The following is a 20,100-nucleotide window of genomic DNA, read 5'->3' on the forward strand; positions in this document are numbered from 1 at the left end:
GTAATTTGCTTGGTAATTTTCATGAATACAGTTAATATCTAATAAGGTTTCCTTTACTCTCTTACATACTCACCAAAGAAACCTTACTTAACCAGCATTGTCTTTCTGTATGTAAAAGTAAAATTCTGGAGTAACATTTTTAAAACCTTAAGGTAATAAACCACATAGAAAAGGCATCTAACATAGGTTTTACAGTGAATCTAAACTGGAAAGTGAATAAGCTAGATATGGCTAAGAAGAAAAGGGCAGCTGAACAGGGAATGGGGGAGTAAAAAAAAGAGTGTTCTAGACAGAAGGGACAGTATGTACAAAAACACAGAAGCAAGAGAAAGCATGTGTGAGAAAACTGACACAGGCATAGGGTGCCAGATCACAGAGTGAGAACCGACATACAGAGGGAGGTGGGGCTGGATAAGCAGAGGCCATATCATACAGTCCTTCTGTATGCTATCCAGAAACATTTTTGGATAGTTTTCTAAGAATAAGAGAAAATCATGAAACTAGTTTTGAGAAGAAAACTGACATAATCAAATAGGCTTTAGTATGAGGAGACTGAAGAGGGACAAGGTTTTTCAAATTGATTTAAAAAACAAAAAACATACACAACTAAAATAATTGATAATATCCAATGTTGAGGAGAACGCAGGAAAGTGAATGCTCTCAATGTTGGCAGGTACATGCTAGAATAACCAATTAGAGGGTGATATATCAGGGCCTATCAAAATTTTACATGTGCATACCCTATAAACGAGCAATCCTTCTTCTAGGAGTTAATCCTAAAGAGTTGTGCTTACAGTAGCAGTGGCTGAAAACAGTATAATAATTAAGAGCACAGATATCTAAGTCGCATAGACCAAGGTTCCAATCCCAGTTCTGTCCTTGACTTGTTGCACAGGGAACCCATATCCATCTCTTTTAGTCTCCATTTTTTTTTTTCTAGAAAGCTTTTATAGAGTTGTTGAAAGATCAAATCAAATAATGAAAGCAAAGCATTTAGCACAGACTCTGACCCATTAAGCACTTTAATAAAGGCAGCCGTCATACAATAAGGCCAATAGAGCTTAGAAGTTAAAATAAGTATGACATGTTCTCACTGACAGGGAAGGGAGTTACAAATAGGGTGAAGATGAAAACTAGAATCTTGCGGTGCTGGAATGGAATTGAAGGTGTCAATCTGAATTGACAATATATATACTGAAGCGTCTATATACATATATATAGAGCAGCATCAATTCAGATATCATATATATACATATATATACACATAAATACATACATATACATATATATATGGCTTTTTTTTTTTTTTTGCAGAGCTAGCTGAGGTTTTATTTTGGACCAAAAAAAAAAAAAAAAGCAACTGAATTGTTTTGTAGCTGGAGGCATGGGCAAAGGGGGGGTCCCCAGGCAGTAAACTCCCCCGCGGGTGGACTGAGGCCTAGGGCTGAGCCTCAGGTGGGTCTCCTGTTCCCAGTGCTACCCTGCATAGTGACCTCCCTCCCAGGCTCTGGGGCAGCGCAGGAGGGGTAGGCTGGGAGGGGCTGCCACAGCTGTTCACTTGGGCAGGACGTCAGAGGACTCGGACACCAGCTTCCCATCACGTGTCTCGATCTTCACAACCACGGCCCTGGAGTAGCTGGTGCGGCTGAAGGAGCTGGCGCCCAGGCCGTAGCTGAGGCCGGGGCTTGTGAGGCCCCCACAGGCCGAGCTCAGACCACTTGCATAGCCGCTGGTGGTCTTCGTATGAATACTCATGTTCTGCATCCCAGACTCCAGCCGGCTCTCCTCGCCCTCCAGCAGCTTCTTGTAGGTGGCGATCTCGATGTCCAGGGCCAGCCTGACGTTCATCAGCTCCTGGTACTCACGCAGCTGCCACGCCATGTCCTGCTTGGCCCGCTGCAGGGCGGCCTCCAGCTCGACAACTTGGCGTTAGCATCCTTAATGGCCAGCTCTCCACACTGCTCGGCATCTGCAATGGCGGCCTCCAGGAAAGCCCTCTGGCCTTTGAGGCCCTCATTCTCAGCCTGGAGCCGGCTGATGTTCCGGTTCATCTCGGAGATCTTAGTCTTTGTGCACCGCAGGTTATCCCCATGCTTCCCAGCCAGACTCTGCAGCTCCTCATCCTTGATCTGGTACATGCTCTCAGCCTCGGCCTGGCTGCGGTTGGCGATCTCCTCGTACTGTGCCTTGACCTCAGCGATGACGCTGTTCATGTCCAGGGAGCGGCTGTTGTCCATGGACAGCACCACAGATGTGTCTGAGATCCAGGACTGCAGCTCCCGGATCTCCTCTTCATACAGCTGCCTGAGGAAGTTGATCTCATCAGTCAGCCCTTCCAGGCGAGACTCCAGCTCTACCTTGTTAATGTAAGCTTCATCCACAATCCTTCTTGATGAGGACAAATTCATTCTCCATCTCTGCACGCTTATTGATCTCATCCTCATACTTGTTCTTGAAGTCCTCCACCAGCCCCTACATGTTGCCAAGCTCCGCCTCCAGCTTCAGTTTCTCCTAGCCCAGAGTCTCCAGCTGCCGCCTAAGGTTGTTGATGTAGCTCTTGAACATGTTGTCCATGTTGCTCCCGGCCGTCTTCTGCTGCTGCAGGAGGCTCCACTTGGTCTCCAGCATCTTGTTCTGCTGCTCCAGGAACCGTACCTTGTCTATGAAGGAGGCAAACTTGTTGTTGAGGGTCTTGATCTGCTCCTTCTCCTGGGTGCACACAGCCTGGATGTCGGGGTCCACCTCCAGGACAAGGGGGCTCAGCAGGCTCTGGTTGACTGTGACCGCGGTGATGCCTCCCATGCCGCTGGCCCCACCACAGCCGCCGCCCAGGCCACCCCGAAAGCAGCTGCTGCCCACTTGGGAGAAGCTTGAGGAGCTGATGTGGGCACCGGGCCCACTTGTGTAGGAGTGGCTGCTGAAGGCCCGGGGGCCAGAGGTGGACACCTTGTAGGACTTCTGGGTCCCCTAATGGACATGGTGGAGGCAGGAGTGGAGGCAGGCGGGCCGAACCAGGCAGAGATCCTAGAAGGAGCGGAGAAGCTGCTTCTTGGTCTGTTTTTTGTTTTTTATTGAGACAGAGTCTTGCTCTGTCACCCAGGCTGCAGTGGATCTCGGCTTACTGCAACCTCTGCCCCCCCGGATTCAAGCAATTCTGCTGCCTCCGCCTCCTGAGTAGCTGGGATTACAGGCTTGTGCCACCAAGCCAGGCTAATTTTTTCTATTTTTAGTAGAGAAGGGGTTTCACCATGTTGGCCAGGCCAGTCTCAAACTCCTGGCCTCAAGTGATCCACCTGCCTCAGCCTCCCAAAGTGCTGGAACAGGCGTGAGCCACCGCACCTGGCACTGTTCAATGTATATTGATAAATATAAGCAAAATGGTGTATATGTGCTATGGTTTCAATGTGTCCCCTCCAAAACTCAGGTGTTGAAACTTAATGGCCAATGTGATGGTATTAGGAGATATGGTCTTAAACAGGTGATTAGGTCATGAGAGCTCCTCCCTAATGAATGAGATCAGGTGCCCTTATAAAAAGGCTTGGTGGAGAGAGTTCCTCTCTTGCTCTTCAGCCTTCCAATATGTGAGGATGTAGGACGAAGTCCCTCACCAGATGCCAGTGCCTTGATCTTGAACTTCCCAGCCTCCAGCACTGCGAGAAATAAATTTGTTCTTTATAAATTACCCAGTCTGTAGTGTTCTATCATAGCAGCACAAAACAGGTAAGACCATATGTATATATACAAATGTGTGTATGTATTTATATGTGTGTGTACACATATATGCACAAATTCCCTCACTTTGTCTACTGAAAGGGCCTGGGAACAGTGACACCTCGATATCAGCTAACATACCTAGCACCTAGATCTTGGCTTCTAAAAATCATTCTTTACCGAAAGGAAGCAGGGCTCCTTAGAGAAATGGCTGAATCCAGAGCTGAGACAGAGTAAGCACAAGATGAGCTTGGAACATCTTGCTGTGCCTGAAAATATTTGTTGATAAGTTCAAAGAATCATGGAGACATTCAAAAGGAAACAAAAGCAACTTAAAAGGGCTGCCCAAATCTGGGACAAACAATTAAGCGTAGTTAAATATTGTAAAACACTAAATAAAAAGAGAAAACTGTAAATTCACACTGATATAAATAAACGAATTGAAGGTCTAATGAGAAATTGAATATATTCATAATTTCACAATTCTGCCCCACAAAAGAGTTATTAATTACAAAGGAAAAAAGAGCAAGTTTACAGTTGAGAGCACTAACATACAACACTTTAATCAAGTAATCAAAGTTAGCATCAGAAATAGGACAAATCAAAATTGTGCACCACCTGATAAGATGCAATGGGAAGAACGTGGCATCTGTTCGATGATATTTCTGCCAAAGATGCATAAGCTAAATCTAAAATCAGACAAACTCAAGTCATGAAACAATCTACAAATTAACTGGCCTGCAATCTTCAAAATTTCAAGGTCATGGAAAGATCAAGGAACTATTTCAGAATACACAGATATAACAATTCAATGTAACATCTAATTCTAAACTAAATCCTTTTCCTATAAAGGAAATTATTGGGAAAAGACAATTGGTAAAACAAAACTCAAATGAAATTAGGTGGTAGCAATGTATCAATGTTTCATTAATGTAATAAGGTTACATGTGTTAATATATTGATGTAAATTTCCCAGTTCTGATGGATATACCACGGATATGAAGGAGAATGCTCTAATAAATACTCCAAATATTCAGGTGCATTAGGTAGTAAATTCCTCTCAAACAGTCCAGGGAAAAATATTCTTCTTCATATTTCCAACTTTTGGGGAAGACTGAGATTATTTCACAACGAAAACAAATTCTTAAAATTTTTTTTCACTGAGGGAAAAAATAATAAAGCCTCTAGAATCTGACTTCCAAGCTCACATCCTGACTTCACTACGTACAATGTATGCCATTTTGGCAAACACATCGCTGAAATTCAATTTAACCATCTCTTGGGTTTATGGTGCCTAGAGGTCATCCAAAAGAAGATGTCCAGGAGGCAAGTGATATTTGGGTCCAAAGGCCTAAGTGGGGGTCTTCGGCACAGAAGAGTATGATTGTATGACTGATGCCTGGTAAATAAATAGTATTGCATTGGAAGAGCGTGTACAGAATGAGAAGAAATTTCTTTAATATATAAAGGTTGGGAAGAGAACGAAAAGGCCAAAAGGAAGTTAAGAAGTACTGGTAAGAGAAGAAGCTGAAGAAAAGTTATTGTTAAAATACTGAATTATAATATCTTCTCAATTCAAAAGGTAATTCTCAACTCAGAATTAAACTTTTAGGACAACTATTTATAAATTCACTGAACTAAGAATATATGTGCCAATACAAACACCGCTATTAACATTAGTTTTCCATGTAAGTCTAGGACATTCCATGCAACATGACTGAAGCATAGTAGAATATCAATTGTATGATTTCAATTTCACTATTTGTTTCTCTCACTTCCAGAAGACACCTTCTTCCTCTACAGAAAAAGTTTACAGAAGAGATGTAATCACAAAATATTATAGTAGGAAAAAACTTTCGAGACTATCTCATCCAACTCCATCATTTTACCTAAAAGAAAATAGGGACTGTAAAACATTGAAGAAGAAATATGCAGTCTGGCACATAGAGCTTAGAAATCTTCAGTTAGCCCTAATAGCAAATAAAAAGTTGAACAAACTAAAAATTAACAACTCTCCATAGATCTGTCAGAGAAGTGAGGTCTCAGGAAAACTGCTGCTCCCCAAAACTAAGGAAACAGACAGGGAGCTACGGAGAATCACAATTTTGGAACAGAAAGAGCCAATGCAGTAAGTAGGAAAACGTGAACTGGGATGAACTGCTAGTAGCTTGGTGTGAACCAGCCTGAGAGATAAAAACTCCAGGGGACCCAGTCACAAGGCAGCCCCACACTTTCGTGACTTTTACCTCCAGGGAGCTCTACCAGGTCCTCACAGTGAATATCAGAGAAAAGTTCCCTCATTCTTCTGGCATAGGGAAGAGAAAAGAAACCATTCTGAAACATGCCAGACAATTCTGTTCTTGTTAACAAGGCCTGCCCTCGGAGAAACTATTTGCCAGAGCCTAACCTGTTGAGGTTCTATCAGAGCCTAACTGACCAGGGAGAAGAGAAATACCCAACTCCAGCTGCCTCTGGTCTTCCATGCAAGGGAAGGGAATACACAACTCCAGCCCCTCCAGACACTCTGCCCCATCTAAGGGAAGAAAAAACTGAGAAGCAATGGTGAAGTTCAGATCCAAGGGGCACAGGCTCAGTAAAAGACTGAGACCTAACCATAAGGCTATAGAATGCTTCCCCTTCCTGACTCCTGACCACTACATTACTAAGGCCTATTTACAGCAGTTCCTTTTGTCCCATACATCATGTCCGGCTTACAACAAAAAATTGCAAGGCATACTAAAAGGAAAAAAAAAATACAGTTTGAAGAGACTAAACAAGCATCAGAACTAAAGTCAGATATGGCAGGAATGTTGGAATTATCAAAACAGAAAAAATTTTTAACTATGATTAATATGCCTTATAAGGCTTTAATGAAAAAAGTAGACAGCATACAAGAACAGAGAGATAATGGGAGCAGAAAGATGCTAAAGTGTAAGAAAGAATAAAAAAGAAATGCTAGAGACAAAAATACTAAAACAGAAATGAATGACTATGAGAATTGGTTCATTAGTAGGTGGGACACAGGCTGAGGAAAGAATCTCTGAGCTTAGTATGACAATAGGAGTTTCCAAAACTGGAAGATCAAGAGAAAAAAGACTGGGGGAAAAAAAAAACCACAGAACAGAACAGAACATCTCAGAACTGTGAGATAACTAAAAACGGTGTAATAAACACAGACTGGGAATACCAGAAGAAAAAAGAGAGAAAGGAACAGAAGAAATATTTGAAGCAATAATTACTGAGAATTTCCCCCAATTAATGTCACACACCAAACCACAGATTCAGGAAGCTCAGAGAACACTAAGCAGGATAAATGCCAAAAAAAAAAAAACTTGCTGCTAGGCATCCCATATTAAAACATCAGAAAATCAAAGCTAAAGAAAAAATACTGAAAGAAGCCAAACGGGAAAAAAAAAATCTTACCTCTAAGGGACCAAAGATAAGAATTACATCCAATTTCTCAGAAGCCATGCAAGCAAGAAGGGTAGAGTGAAGTATTTACAATGTTGAGAAAAAAAAAAAAAACCACCACCCTAGAATTCTGTGCCCAGTAAAATTATCCTTCAAAAGTGAAGGAGAAATAAAAACTCTCAGACAAATAAAAATTGAGGGCATTTGTTGCCAGTAGACCTGTGTGCAAGAAATATTAAAAAGTTCTTCACAGACAAGAAAAATGGCATGGGTAAGAAGCTCAGATCTACACAAAGAAATGAACATCAGAGAATAAATGAAAGTAAAATAAAAACTTTTATTTTTTATTCTTAATTGATCTAACAGATAAAAGGTTCTTCAATTATTATGTGTGTGTGTGCACGCATGCACATGTGTATGCTGAGGTATAACTGAAATGAAAGCAATGATACAAGGGACAAGAAGGAGGGATTAGTAATATTTTATTTTAAAATACCTAAAACAACCTGTGAAGCAGTATAGTGTTATTTGAAGCTGGACCTTCAAAGTAAAAGCAGTATACTGTTATTTGAAATTTGTAAATGTATAGTGCAAACTCTAGGGCAACCACTAAAAAAGTAAAAAAAAAAAAAACAAAAAACAAAAAAGTATAACTGATATGCAAGAAAGAGAAAATTAAAACCACAAATGTGGGAAAAGAGTTACAGACAAAAACAGGAATAAGAAACAAGAGAAACAAATATAAAACACTAATAAGGTTATTCATGCAACTATATTAATAATCACCTTGAACATCAATAGTTTAAATGCACCAGTTAAAAAACAGATTGTCAGAGTGGACCAAAAAACAAGATCCAACTATATGTTGTTATCTATAAGAAACCCACTTTAAATATAAAAACAAATATAGATTAAAAGCTATACTAATCAAAAGAAAATGGTAGTAGTTATATTAATTTCAGACAGAACAGACTTCAGACCAAAGAAAGTTCACAGGGAAAGGAGGAATATTACATGATGATAAAGGAGTCAATTCTGCAAAAAGACAAAATAATTTTTAACGTGAATGCACCTAACAGAGTATCAAAATACATGCAGCAAAAACTAACAGAGCTGCAAGGAGAAATAGTTGAATCCAACTTGGAGACTTTAACACACACTATCAGAAATGGACAGATCCAGCAGGCAGAAAATCATTGACATAACTGAACTCAACATTATCAATCAACTGGATGCAATGGATATCTATAGACCACTTCAAACAACAACAGCAGAATACACATTCTTCTCAAGCTTACGTAGAAAGTTCACCAAGACAGAGCAATTCTGGGCCATAAAACACACCTTAACACATTTAAGAACAGAACCGTGTCTGCTGTCAGGCTACATAAACTAGAAATCAGTAACAGAGATAGCTGGAAAATCCCAAAATACTTTGAGATTAAACAATATACTTCTAAATAACACATGGGTTAAAAAAAAATCTCAAGAGAAATTTAAAATATCTTGAACTAAATGAAAATGAAAACACAACAAAAATTGTGAGATGCAATTTTTATTTGTCTGAGAGTTTTTATTTCTCCTTCACTTTTGAAGGATAATTTCGCTGGGCACAGAAATTGTGACATGCAATGAAAGCAGTGCTTAGAGAAAGATTTATAGCATTAAATGCATATGTCTGTTAGAAGAGAAGATCTAAAATCAAACATCTAAGCTTCCACCTTAGGAAACCAGAAAAGGAGCAAATTAGGTCCAAGTAAGCAGAAGATAATAATAAAAATTACAGCAAATCAATAGAACTGAAGACAGGAAATCAATAGAGAACAATTAACAAAATCAAAAGCTGGTTCTCTGAAAAGATAAATAAAATCAATAAGCCTCCAGCCAGGCTCAATAAGAAAAAAAAAAAAGAAAGGATACAAATTACCCATACCAGAAATGAAAGATGGGATCACTACAGAGCCTACCGGTATTAAAATAATAATAAAGGAATACTATGAAGATGTCTAGGCCCACAAATTTGATAATCTAGATGAAATAGACCAATTCCTTGAAAGACACAATATGCCAAAACTCATACAAGAGTAAATAGACAATCTGAATAGGCCTATTATCTATTAAAGAAATTGAGTCAATAATCAATAACCTTCCCAAACAGAAAGTACCAGGTCTAGAGATCACTGGTGAATTCCACCAAACATTTAAGGAAGAAATTATACCAATTCTCTATAATCTCTTTCAGAAGACAGAAACATAGAGAATACTTCCTAACTCATTCTATGAGGCCAGCATCATCCTAATACCAAAATCAAAGACATTACAATAAAGAAAAGAAAACAAACAAAAAATACAGACCAATATCTCTCATGAACACAAATGCAAATATCTTCAACAAAATATTAGCAAATCAAATCCATCAGTGTATAAAAAGAATAATAGGCCGGGCATGGTGGCTCACACCTGTAATTCCAGCACTTTGTGAGGCTGAGGTGGGAGGATCACTTGAGCCCAGGAGTTCGAGACCAGTCTTGGCAACATAGGGAGACTGCATCTCTACAAAAGGTTTTTAGAAAGAAAAATAATTATACACCATGATCAAGTGGGATTTATCCCAGGTATGCAAGTCTGGTTCAACATTCAAAAATCAATTAATGTAATCCATCACATCAACAGCCTAATGAAGAAAAAAAAATCACATAATCTTATCAATAGATGCAGAAAAAGTATTTGACAAAATCCATTATCTATTAATGATAAAAACTCTCAATAAACCAGAATTAGAAGGAAACTTCCTCAACTTAATAAAGAATATATAAAAACCTACAGCTAACATTATACTTAATGGTGAAAAACCTGAAGCATTCAAGATCAGGTACAAGACAAGGATGTCCCCTCTCACCACTTCTTTTCAACATCATACTTAGAGCCTTACTAATGGAAAAGAAAAGGAAATAAAAAGTATACAGATTAGGAAAGAAGAAATATAATTCATCAGGTACAAGACAAGGATGTCCCTTCTCACCACTCCTTTTCAACATCATACTTAGAGCCTTACTAATGCAAAAGAAAAGGAAATAAAGAGTATACAGATGAGGAAAGAAGAAATATAATTGTCTTTGTTCACAGAGGACATGATTACATAAAAAATATGTGGAAAGAATCAACAACAACAAAAAGAATTTTAAAAAAGGCCAGGTGTGGTGGCTCATGCCTGTAAGCCCAGCACTTTGGGAGGCCGAGGCAGGCGGATCACCTGAGGTCAGTAGTTTGAGAATGGCCTGGCCAATGTAGTGAAACCCTCTCTCTACTAAAATACAAAAATTAGCCAGGCATGGTGGCATATACCTGTAGTCCCAGCTACTCAGGAGGCTGAGGCAGGAGAATCGCTTGAACCTGGGAGTCGGGGCTGTGGTAAGCCAAGATCGCACCACTGCACTCCAGCCTGGGTGACAGAGTGAGATCCTGTCTCAAAAAACAAAACAAGCAAAAAAAAAAAAAAAAAAAACCACACACACACACACACACACACAAGTGATTATAGCAAGGTTATAAAATACAAAGTTAATACACAAGTCAACAGCTTTCTTATATGCCAGCAACGAACAAATAAAATTTACATGAACACCCCCAAAAATAAAGAATTCGTATATAAATCTAACAAAATATGTAAGATCTATATGAAGAAAACTATAAAACTCTGATAAAAGAAATCAAAGAACTAAATAAATGGAGATAGTGCATGTTCACAGAAGACTCAATATTGGCAAGATGTCAGTTCTTCCTAATTTGATCTACAGATTCAATACAATCCCAATAAAAATCCCAGCAAATTATTTTGTAGATACTGACAAATTCTTAAGTTTATATGGAGAAGCAAAAGAACCAGAACAGCCAATTCAATATTGAAGAAAAAGAATAGAGTCAGAGGACTGACACTGACTTCAAGTCTTACTTGAAGCTACAGTAATCAAAACAGTGTTGCATTGACAAACAAATAGACAAATAGATCAATGGAGCATAATAAAGAGACCAGAAATAGACTCACATAAGTAAAGTCAACTGATCTTTGACAAAGGAGCAAAGGCAATGCAATGGAGCAAAGAAAGTCTTTTCAACAAATGGTGCTGGAACAACTGGACATCTACATGCAAAAAGTGAGTCTAGACACAGACCTTACAACCTTTCCAAAAATTAACTCAGAATGGATTACAGACCTAAATGTAAACTGCAAAACTATAAAAGTCCTAGAAGATAACAAAGGAGAAACCTAGATGGCCTTGGGTGGTGGCAACAATTTTTCAGATACAACTACAAAGGCACAATCCATGAATGCAACAACTCATAAGCCGGACTTCATTAAAATTTAAAACTTCTGCTCTGGGAAAGACAATGTCAAGAGAATGAGAAGATAAGCCACATACTGGGAAAACATATTTGTAAAATACATATCTGATAAAGAACTATTATCCAAAATATACAAAGAACTCTTAAAATTCAACAAGAAAATGAACAACCCAATTTAAAAATGGGCCCAAGACCTGAGCAGACACCTCAAAGAAGATACACACATGGTAGGTAAGCATATGCAAACATGCTCAACATCCTATGTCATTGAGGAATTGCAAATTAAAACAACAATGAGATACTATGATATACCTAGTAGAATGGCCAAAATCCAAAACACTAACACCACCAAATTCTGGTAAGAATATGGAGCAACAGAAATTCTCATTCATTGCTAGTGGGAATGCCAAATAGCACGGCCACTTTGGAAGGCAGTGTGGATATTTCTTACAGAACTAAACATACTCTTACCACATGATCCAATGACTGCAATCCTGGATATTTACCCAAATGAACTGAAAACTTCTGTCCACATAAGAACCTGCACACAGATGTTTACAGCAGTTTACAGTACCTTTATTTATAATTGCCAAAAGTTAGAAGCAACCAAGATGTCCCTTAGGAGCTGAGTGAAAAAATAAACTGTGATACATCCAGACAATTGACTATAAGCACTCAAAAGAAATGAGCTATCAAGCCATGCAAAGACATGAAGTAACTTACATGCACTTATGACTAAGGGAAAGAAACCAATCTGGAAAAGGCTACATACTATATTATTCCAACTATATGACATTCAGGAAAAGGCAAAACTATGGAGACAGTAAAAAAGATCAATAGCTGCCAAGGGGATGGGAGGAGGGAGGAATGAATAGGTGGAGCACAGATGATTTTTAGGGTGGTGAAACTATTCTGTATGATACTACAATAGTGGATACTACAAGTCATTTACATTTGTCAAAACCCATAGAATGTCCAACACCAAGAGAGAAACCTAATGTAAACTATAGACCTTGGGTGACACTGATATGAATGATATGATATGTTCATGCATTGTAGTATCACCACTCTGGTGTGGCATGTTGACAGCAAGAGAGGCTGCAAGTATGTGGGGACAGGGAGTATATAGGAGAACTCTCATTTCTCTCTGCTCAATTTTACTGTGAAACTAAAACTGCTCTAAAAAATAAAGTTTATTAATTAAAAAAGAAAAAATATAAAGGTTTTGTTAACCTACAGTTGAGTTAATAAATAGAGAACAGCATGATCATTTTGGGCTTTCCTGTACTCATCCTAGGAAGAAAACTGTCCTAAGTGGCAAATTTTTAAAACTATACAAAATTGTGCTTTGTTCTATTACATACCAAATAAAGAATAAATTTTCCTATTTCTAAGATTTGCAAACAAGAGCTAAGAGCAACAAGTGCTGCATGTGTAACAATGTCACAATATTTGTCTGATGAACAGTTTACACCCTGCATATATGTCCCTATAACACTCCCGCTTCCTAAAGCTCTAGTCCAAAGATGGAACTTCTCAGAGAATGTTTTTAGAGATGATGCACAAACCTTTTCCATCTCGAGGGGGAGCCCCCTTTGCTTTAAAGCTATCCACTGGTGGCTTTGTATCGGTTTCCAAAGCAATACTTATCTGTATCTCAGACTTGAATTTGGTGTATTTATTACTCAGCAACTGGTACCATTTTGGTGCCTAGAGAATAATAAAATAACAAAACACCTAATAGTTAATAAGGGAAAAAACATATTGGGAAATGCTATACAGTTCTAAATAAATTTATTGTAGCTTTTCAGTACTTTATAAACAATTTTTTTTTCACATTTTTCTCAAAACAAATCAATCCTGCTTAGGAAGCCATCAACTGAATTTCCCTCTAGAAAAACTACGTAGAAATTTAAATTGTTTTCTTTGCTTGTCTTCCTATGCTTCAAGAGGCAAAATATTAAAAGGAAGAAAGCATAATATATTTCTTTCTACCTTTCGTCTTATACCCTCAATCTCACTTCATCCCTTAAACAACAAAAAAACTACCAGTTTTCTAATTCCCTAACCTCTATCTTCTCACGTTTTTAAATTATACCTTTTCTTTCTGCCATAGACCTGCTTCGTTCTGCTTATATCAATAAGCATAGGAAAATCTTGGATGGGTGGCTCATGCCTGTAATCCCAACACTTTGGAAGGCCAAGGTGGGCAGATCACTTGAGTCCAGGAGTTCAAGACCAGCCTGGGCAACATGGTGAAACCCCGTCTGTCTCTACTAAAAATACGAAAAATTAGCTAGGCATGGTGGTGCACGCCTGTAATCCCAGCTACCTGGGAGGCTGAGATGGGAGGATTGCTTGAGCCCGATAAATCAAAGCTGCAGTGAGCCATGATCACACCACTGCACTCCAGCCTGAGCAACAGGAGTGAAGCCCTGTCGCAAAAAAAAATAATAATAATAATAAATAAATAAGAAAAAGAAAAAAGAAAATCTTATTAGTGTTAATAAAAAGCATTAACAAAATACTAAAGTCAAGGCCTAATGGAAGAGTGGTGGATTATGAACCAGGTACTTGACTGATACTCGAACAAAAGCCTTCTTACAGAATGAAGCATCCTAAATTATTTGAATATCCCCACTAGACCAACCTCAGAAATTCTAGTACTCAAGATAGCCTGAAAAATATCATGCCTACATATATTATTAGGGCAGGAACCACTGATCAGTGGGAATACCATTTCAATACTTGGAAACAGCATTTTTTACTCTGATCATTTGTTATATAAAGATATAGTAGATGGTGCTTATATTGTCTTTGTTATATAAAGACATAATAAATGGTGCCTATACTGCTATTTTATATTCAAGTCATGTTTGATAAGTAAAATAGAATTAAGTAGGCCAAAGCTTTAAATAAAAATCAACAACCTAATTTTTTAAAGATAAAAATGCATAATACAGTTTGTTGATGTATTTCTTATAACAAATATGTTATAATTTTGAATATAAGCCTGAAAGAAAGATTTCCAGCTACTCAGAGAATTGATGACTTTTTCTGTTATATAACTCAGAAAAATAAATCTGGATTTTTTTCTGTTTATATTTATTTACAGAGAATCAATTTATTTTGAACTTCAAATATTGTACTATCCAATTACAAATATTTATGCTGACAAACAGGAGAGAATAAGCAATACAGCATTTAGTTTAAATAACTGAGCCATTTCTCCCTTTGATTACAAATATGTTGACAAACTGTTCTCAAGGACAAGGGGACAAAGAATGCCAAGAGTATTTAGAGGCATGACCTCATCCCTCAGATACCCCCCTAAGAGGATTTACCTTCTCTGCAACTAAACTGACTGCAGAAGTGTCTTCTAGACACTTGCACGCTACATGAGAGAAGGTGGTTAAGAGAAACATCAAGAGCCCAATCAAAGCCCAGGGTCTAAAACTAAAGAAGGAAAAACCTTTTCAGAATAAGATCTAGTGGCAGAGAGGCAGTGAGTACCAAGGATGGGGGGAAAACAAATCCTCTTTTAAAGCATTTTTAAATTTCAGTTTCTTTTAAATTATTCCAACCTTGGGCTAGGCTGACTGATCATATGCAAATATCCTTGCTATCAGCAGCAAAAATATTAGTAAAAGATAAGTTTTTCTTCACAGAATCCCAATTTAAGATTCAAATCAAGAATGGCGTTTTAAATAAAAGAGAAGATATTATTTTAATTGTTTAACTTTTTTCCCCCCTTAAGAAAATTATGACCCAAGACAATCAGAAAAATTGCAAGGGAGATTTCTAAAGTCGGTCACATACAAAAAGGTCAGAAGATACTTAAAGCGCTAAGCAGCGGCCGGGCGCGGTGGCTCACGCCTGTAATCCCAACACTCTGGGAGGCCAAGGCCGGTGGTTCATGAGGTCAGGAGATCGAGACCATCCTGGCTAACACGGTGAAACCCCGTCTCTACTAAAAATTCAAAAAAAAAAAATTAGCTGGGCATGGTGGCGGGTGCCTGTAGTCCCAGCTACTGGGGAGGCTGAGGCGGAAGAATGGCATGAACCCGGGAGTCAGAGCTTGCAGTGAGCCGAGATCGTGCCACTACACTCCAGCCTGGGCAACAGAGCAAGACTCCATCTCAAAAAAAAAAAAAAAAAAAAAAAAAAAAAAAGCCCTAAGCAGCACCATGTTAAATAATAAAAGTCACCATCACAGGAATCAGGATGATTCTGAGTTCTTTCTCTTGGGAGTAGGGGGGCAGAGAGGTACTGGTTAGATAACATCAACTGTGTTTCAATAAGTTCACTTGCTCTGACTGCTATGCAAGGAATGCAAGGAGCAGGAAGCAGGGAGGCTATTATGATAGCCAAGGTAAGAAACAATAGCAGCTGAGTTTGGGGTGGCAGCAGTGAAAAGCAGAATAGCAGACAGATCAGGAGGGAAAAAACCCAACTGGGAACAGGTAGTTATGGAGGAAGGAAAAGGAAAAATGTCAAGGAAGACTTCTGTATTTCTAACTTGTATAACTGAAAGGGGAATGCTGACAATTCACTGAAGCAGGAAACATTAGAAGAGGATGAACCACCTTTAAAAGGAAAGCTCAGGGGCTAGGCATGTTAAGCTTCCGGTAATAGCAACTTGGATACAAGTCAGTTCAGAGATGTCTTTTTGAGCAAGACAGTTCTTGGTCAAGGAAATCACTAAAATGTTGAGATTTTCTAAATCTAATTCATAAACTAAAACATAAGAACTGCCATATTGGCTGGGTGCAGTGGCTCACACCTGTAATCCCAGCACTTTGGGAAGCCAAGGCAGGCAGATCACTTGAGGTGAGGAGTTTGAAACCAGCCTGGCCAACATAGCAAAACCCCATCACTAAAAATACAAAAGTTAGCCAGGCGTGGTGGTGAGTGCCTGTAATCCCAGCTACTCAGGAGGCTAAGGCAGGGAGAATTGCTTGAACTTGGGAAGCGGAGGTTGCAGTGAGCCAAGATTGTGCTATTGCACTCCAGCCTGGATAACAGAGACTCCGTCTCAAAAAAAAAAAGAACTGCCATATTGGCTCAAGTCTATGACTGATCAGGTCTAGTATTTCATGTCCTTTTCATCAATCTGTTATCTACTGAAAATAATCGACTGTCTAACATAATCATTAGCAAAACATCAAAAGGGCAATACCTGCTTTGTTTCTTGAGCGGTTCTTAAATCCAGAACGATGTAACCTATGGTTTCCTTGGCTGAAGTTACAGGATCCAAGGCAAAACATTGGAGTTTGATAGGAGTACGCTGTAGCCTATAACAAAACATGTGATAAATAAAATGGTTTTTGCTTAATAAACTTTCTATTGGCCTTGAAAATATTTCCTATTATCAAGATACTTATAATTTTGTTGGATAAAACTGTAACTATTTTACATTGTCTAAAAAACTCTTCAACAGGCAAGAACTAGGCCAGGCGCAATGGCTCACGCCTGTAATCCCAGCACTTTGGGAGTTCGAGGAGGGCAGATCACGAGGTCAGGAAATCGAGACCATCCTGACCAACATGGTGAAACCTCATCTCTACTAAAATTAAAAAAAACAAAAAAAAATAGCTGGGTGTGGTGCCACGCGCCTGTAATCCCAGATACTCAGGAGGCTGAGGCAGGGGAATTATGTGAACCTGGGAGGCGGAGGTTGCAGTGAGCCGAGATCGCGCCACTACACTCCAGCCTGGGTGACAGATCAAGACTCCATCTCAAAAATAAAAATAAAAATAAAAATAAAAAAAATAAACAGGTAAGAACTATTAATTATATCTACTAACCTCTACACCAACTAAATATTATACAAAACATGTCAACATATTTTACATTCTTTCATCTAAGAAGCCATCATGTAGGTCAATGTTTCTTAAGCTTCTGTAATGTGTAAAACTTTCTGAAAGTAAAAAATTATCATGAATTTTCAGGACCTATTTTATTTCTCTTATACTGTAACATACATAAAATTACAAATACAAATACATGCTTATAGCTCTTTTGTAGCTAAAAAACAAACAGGAATTAAATATAAAATAAATTAAAATTTAAATTAATAATATAACACATAACAGTGTTCTGAAAGAATGATATTGGCTTGTTTAGCATGGGCTGTTTTAGTTCGGAACCCCTCAACTGGCTCATGCATTAAGCTGAATGGATTTTGCCACTGCTTTTATCTAGTGGAGTTATTATAGAACTGCACTTAGCACAAAATCATCACTTATAAATTCAATTTATCTGTATTTTCTCAGCCTACAACAATCAGAGTGGTACTAACCTGGCACTAACAAAATGGAAGCCCTAACAGCTCATAGCAGGACTCCATTATAGACACCACTGAAAGGAAATCCAACATTGATATTCTCTAAGAATGCAATACTTCTTCAAATAAATCCATGGACTACTCTAGCAACAGAGGTAAATAGAGTTTTCCTTGCTTTCCTTTTTTTTAACTTTCCATTTTGATTTAATTTAGTACTGAGAACAAGCAAGTATTAAAGTGATAACATGTTTTCCAGAAGAAAATATATTTTTAATCCTTAAATAAATAAGAGTATTGCTTTTATTGTTGTTGCCTGCTTCTAGTCAGAGTTCACAAAAAATATATACTATAACTTTAAGTCTATTTTATATACTAATAAAGTGGTTTTGTTTAAAATTAAATATAAATTAATTAGAAAGAAACCTTGATAGAATTACTTTCATAACTTTTCACTGGATACCCCTCTATATATCCTTGGCAAGCCAGGTAAATATACAATAAATAAATTAACAGAAATTACAAGGAATTCCAACCATATTTAATAATGAGTAGGTATCATCAAGGTATTTCTAGAATATCTACTGTCTCACACATTAGGAAAAAAAAAAAACCCAAACAGCTCAGTGTAAGTGTAGTGTAAAAGCTTAGGCTCTGAAGCTGGATTGCCTGGGCTCTACCACTACTAAGCTAACAGACTTAAAACAAGTTACTAATACTTAACATCTCAGGCCTCGGTTTCCTCATCTATAATATGGGCGAAATAAAAATAACAACTTCATAGTGTTGTTCTGATGTTTAACTGTTATTGTTGCAAAGTACTTTAAAAATTTCCTGTCACATTTAAAAAAACACTCAATAACTATAATTATTAAACGTAATGACAGATACAAAATTTATAGGTTGAACATTCCTAATTTGAAATGCTCCAAATTCTAAAACTTTGAGTGCTGACATAATGCCACAAACGGAAAATTCCACACACAAGCATTTAACATACTTCATTTTATGAAAATTTATTTAAAATATTATATAAAACTACCTTTGACTATGCGTATAATGTAAAACAAATAAATTTCATGTTTAGACTTGGGTCCCATCCCCAAGGTATCTTTGATTATGCAGATATTCCAAAAATCCGAAAATACTTCTGGTCCCAAGTATTAAATACTCAAACTGTATTTATTTATAACAGCCTGAAAAATAAGAAACCAATAAAGAAGCTAAAATGAAAATGATAATCACCTGTGCTGATGAAGCGCTTTCCTGTCAATTTCCCAAGCTAACTCAGTAGCAAATTCTGGCTGGTCAGTGTGGTCCACAGGATCAGTAGCCAACTGTTCTCCATCAAACTTTGCTTCCACTACAAGCATATGCTTTGGACGTTTGGGGAAATGCCGACCTGGAGAAACAGAATATATAGATTAATCAAAAGTGTACAAAAATCAAACAGGATCATTTACCATGTGTTTTTTTGTTTGGCTGGTTTTTTTTTTTTTTTGAGATGGAGTCTTACTCTGTTGCTTAGGCTGGAGTTCAGTAGCGCAATCTCAGCTCACTGCAACCTCCGCCTCCCAGGTTCACGCGATTCTCCTACCTGAGCCTCCCAAGTAGCTGGGATTACAGGTGCACACCACCAAACCCAGCTAATTTTTGTATTTTTAGTAGAGACAGGGTTTTGCCATGTTGGAACTCCTGACTTCAGGTGATCTACCTGCCTCGGCCTCCCAAAGTGCTGGGATTACAGGCATGAGCCACCATGCCCAGCCTAGCATGTGTTTTTTTAAAACTAATGATCTGTTAAGTGTGGTTGACATGCATTCCATAAGCTACCTCACTAATGCAGGCTCACATATACACTCACTTCCATAATTCATAAGAAACATGAATCAAATGGAAAGCTATAATTTATAAATGTGTGCTTCTCAAACATTAGTGTGCACATGAATCACCTAGGGACCCTGTTAAAATGTAGATTTTGACTCAGTAGATTTAGGGTGGGCCTAAGATTCCGCATTTCTAACAAGATCCAAGGTGATGTGAATGCTGCTGTCCTTGGTCCACACTTTGAGTAGGAATGATCTCAACAACATCTGGAATTAAACACTTAATGTGATTACACGAATTTTAGGTACTACTATTGCACTACTTAATAGAGAACAGTCATCTGAAGAGCTGGGAAATAAATTAGTAAAAACAAATTTGCCTGCAGCTTAATTTTTCTGTTAACTCAGTTAAGAATACTTTCCTGGTGAAACCCCGTCTCTACTAAAAATGCAAAAAATTAGCCGGGTGTGGTGGCATGCGCCTGTAGTCCCAGCTACTCGGGAGGCTGAGGCAGAACAGCTTGA

General features: G+C 38.2%; 1 protein-coding gene and 1 pseudogene across 10 annotated transcripts in view; both read right to left on the reverse strand.

Moving 5' to 3' along the window:
* The window catches only part of CEP120 (centrosomal protein 120), a 78,951-nt gene that overhangs the window by 54,473 nt on the left and 4,378 nt on the right, over positions 1-20,100 (reverse strand). For 8 of the 10 annotated variants that reach the window (NR_164685.1, NM_001166226.2, NM_153223.4 and 5 more), the window contains 3 exons: positions 18,995-19,151; positions 16,646-16,760; positions 13,035-13,176 (listed from right to left, as the gene is read on the reverse strand). Coding sequence is in view for 7 of the 10 variants with exons in the window: in NM_153223.4 (NP_694955.2) it covers positions 13,035-13,176; positions 16,646-16,760; positions 18,995-19,151 (414 nt within the window). In the remaining 3 variants the exon portion in view is untranslated. Of the gene's footprint in view, positions 1-3,852; positions 3,981-4,329; positions 4,377-10,467; positions 10,585-13,034; positions 13,177-16,645; positions 16,761-18,994; positions 19,152-20,100 lie in introns of all 10 variants that reach the window. The other 2 variants (NM_001375408.1, NM_001375409.1) reach the window with 2 other exon arrangements.
* On the reverse strand, positions 1,308-3,054 carry KRT8P33 (keratin 8 pseudogene 33; annotated as a pseudogene).

Source organism: Homo sapiens, chromosome 5, assembly GCF_000001405.40.
Source record: "Homo sapiens chromosome 5, GRCh38.p14 Primary Assembly".
Lineage (NCBI taxonomy): Eukaryota > Metazoa > Chordata > Mammalia > Primates > Hominidae > Homo > Homo sapiens.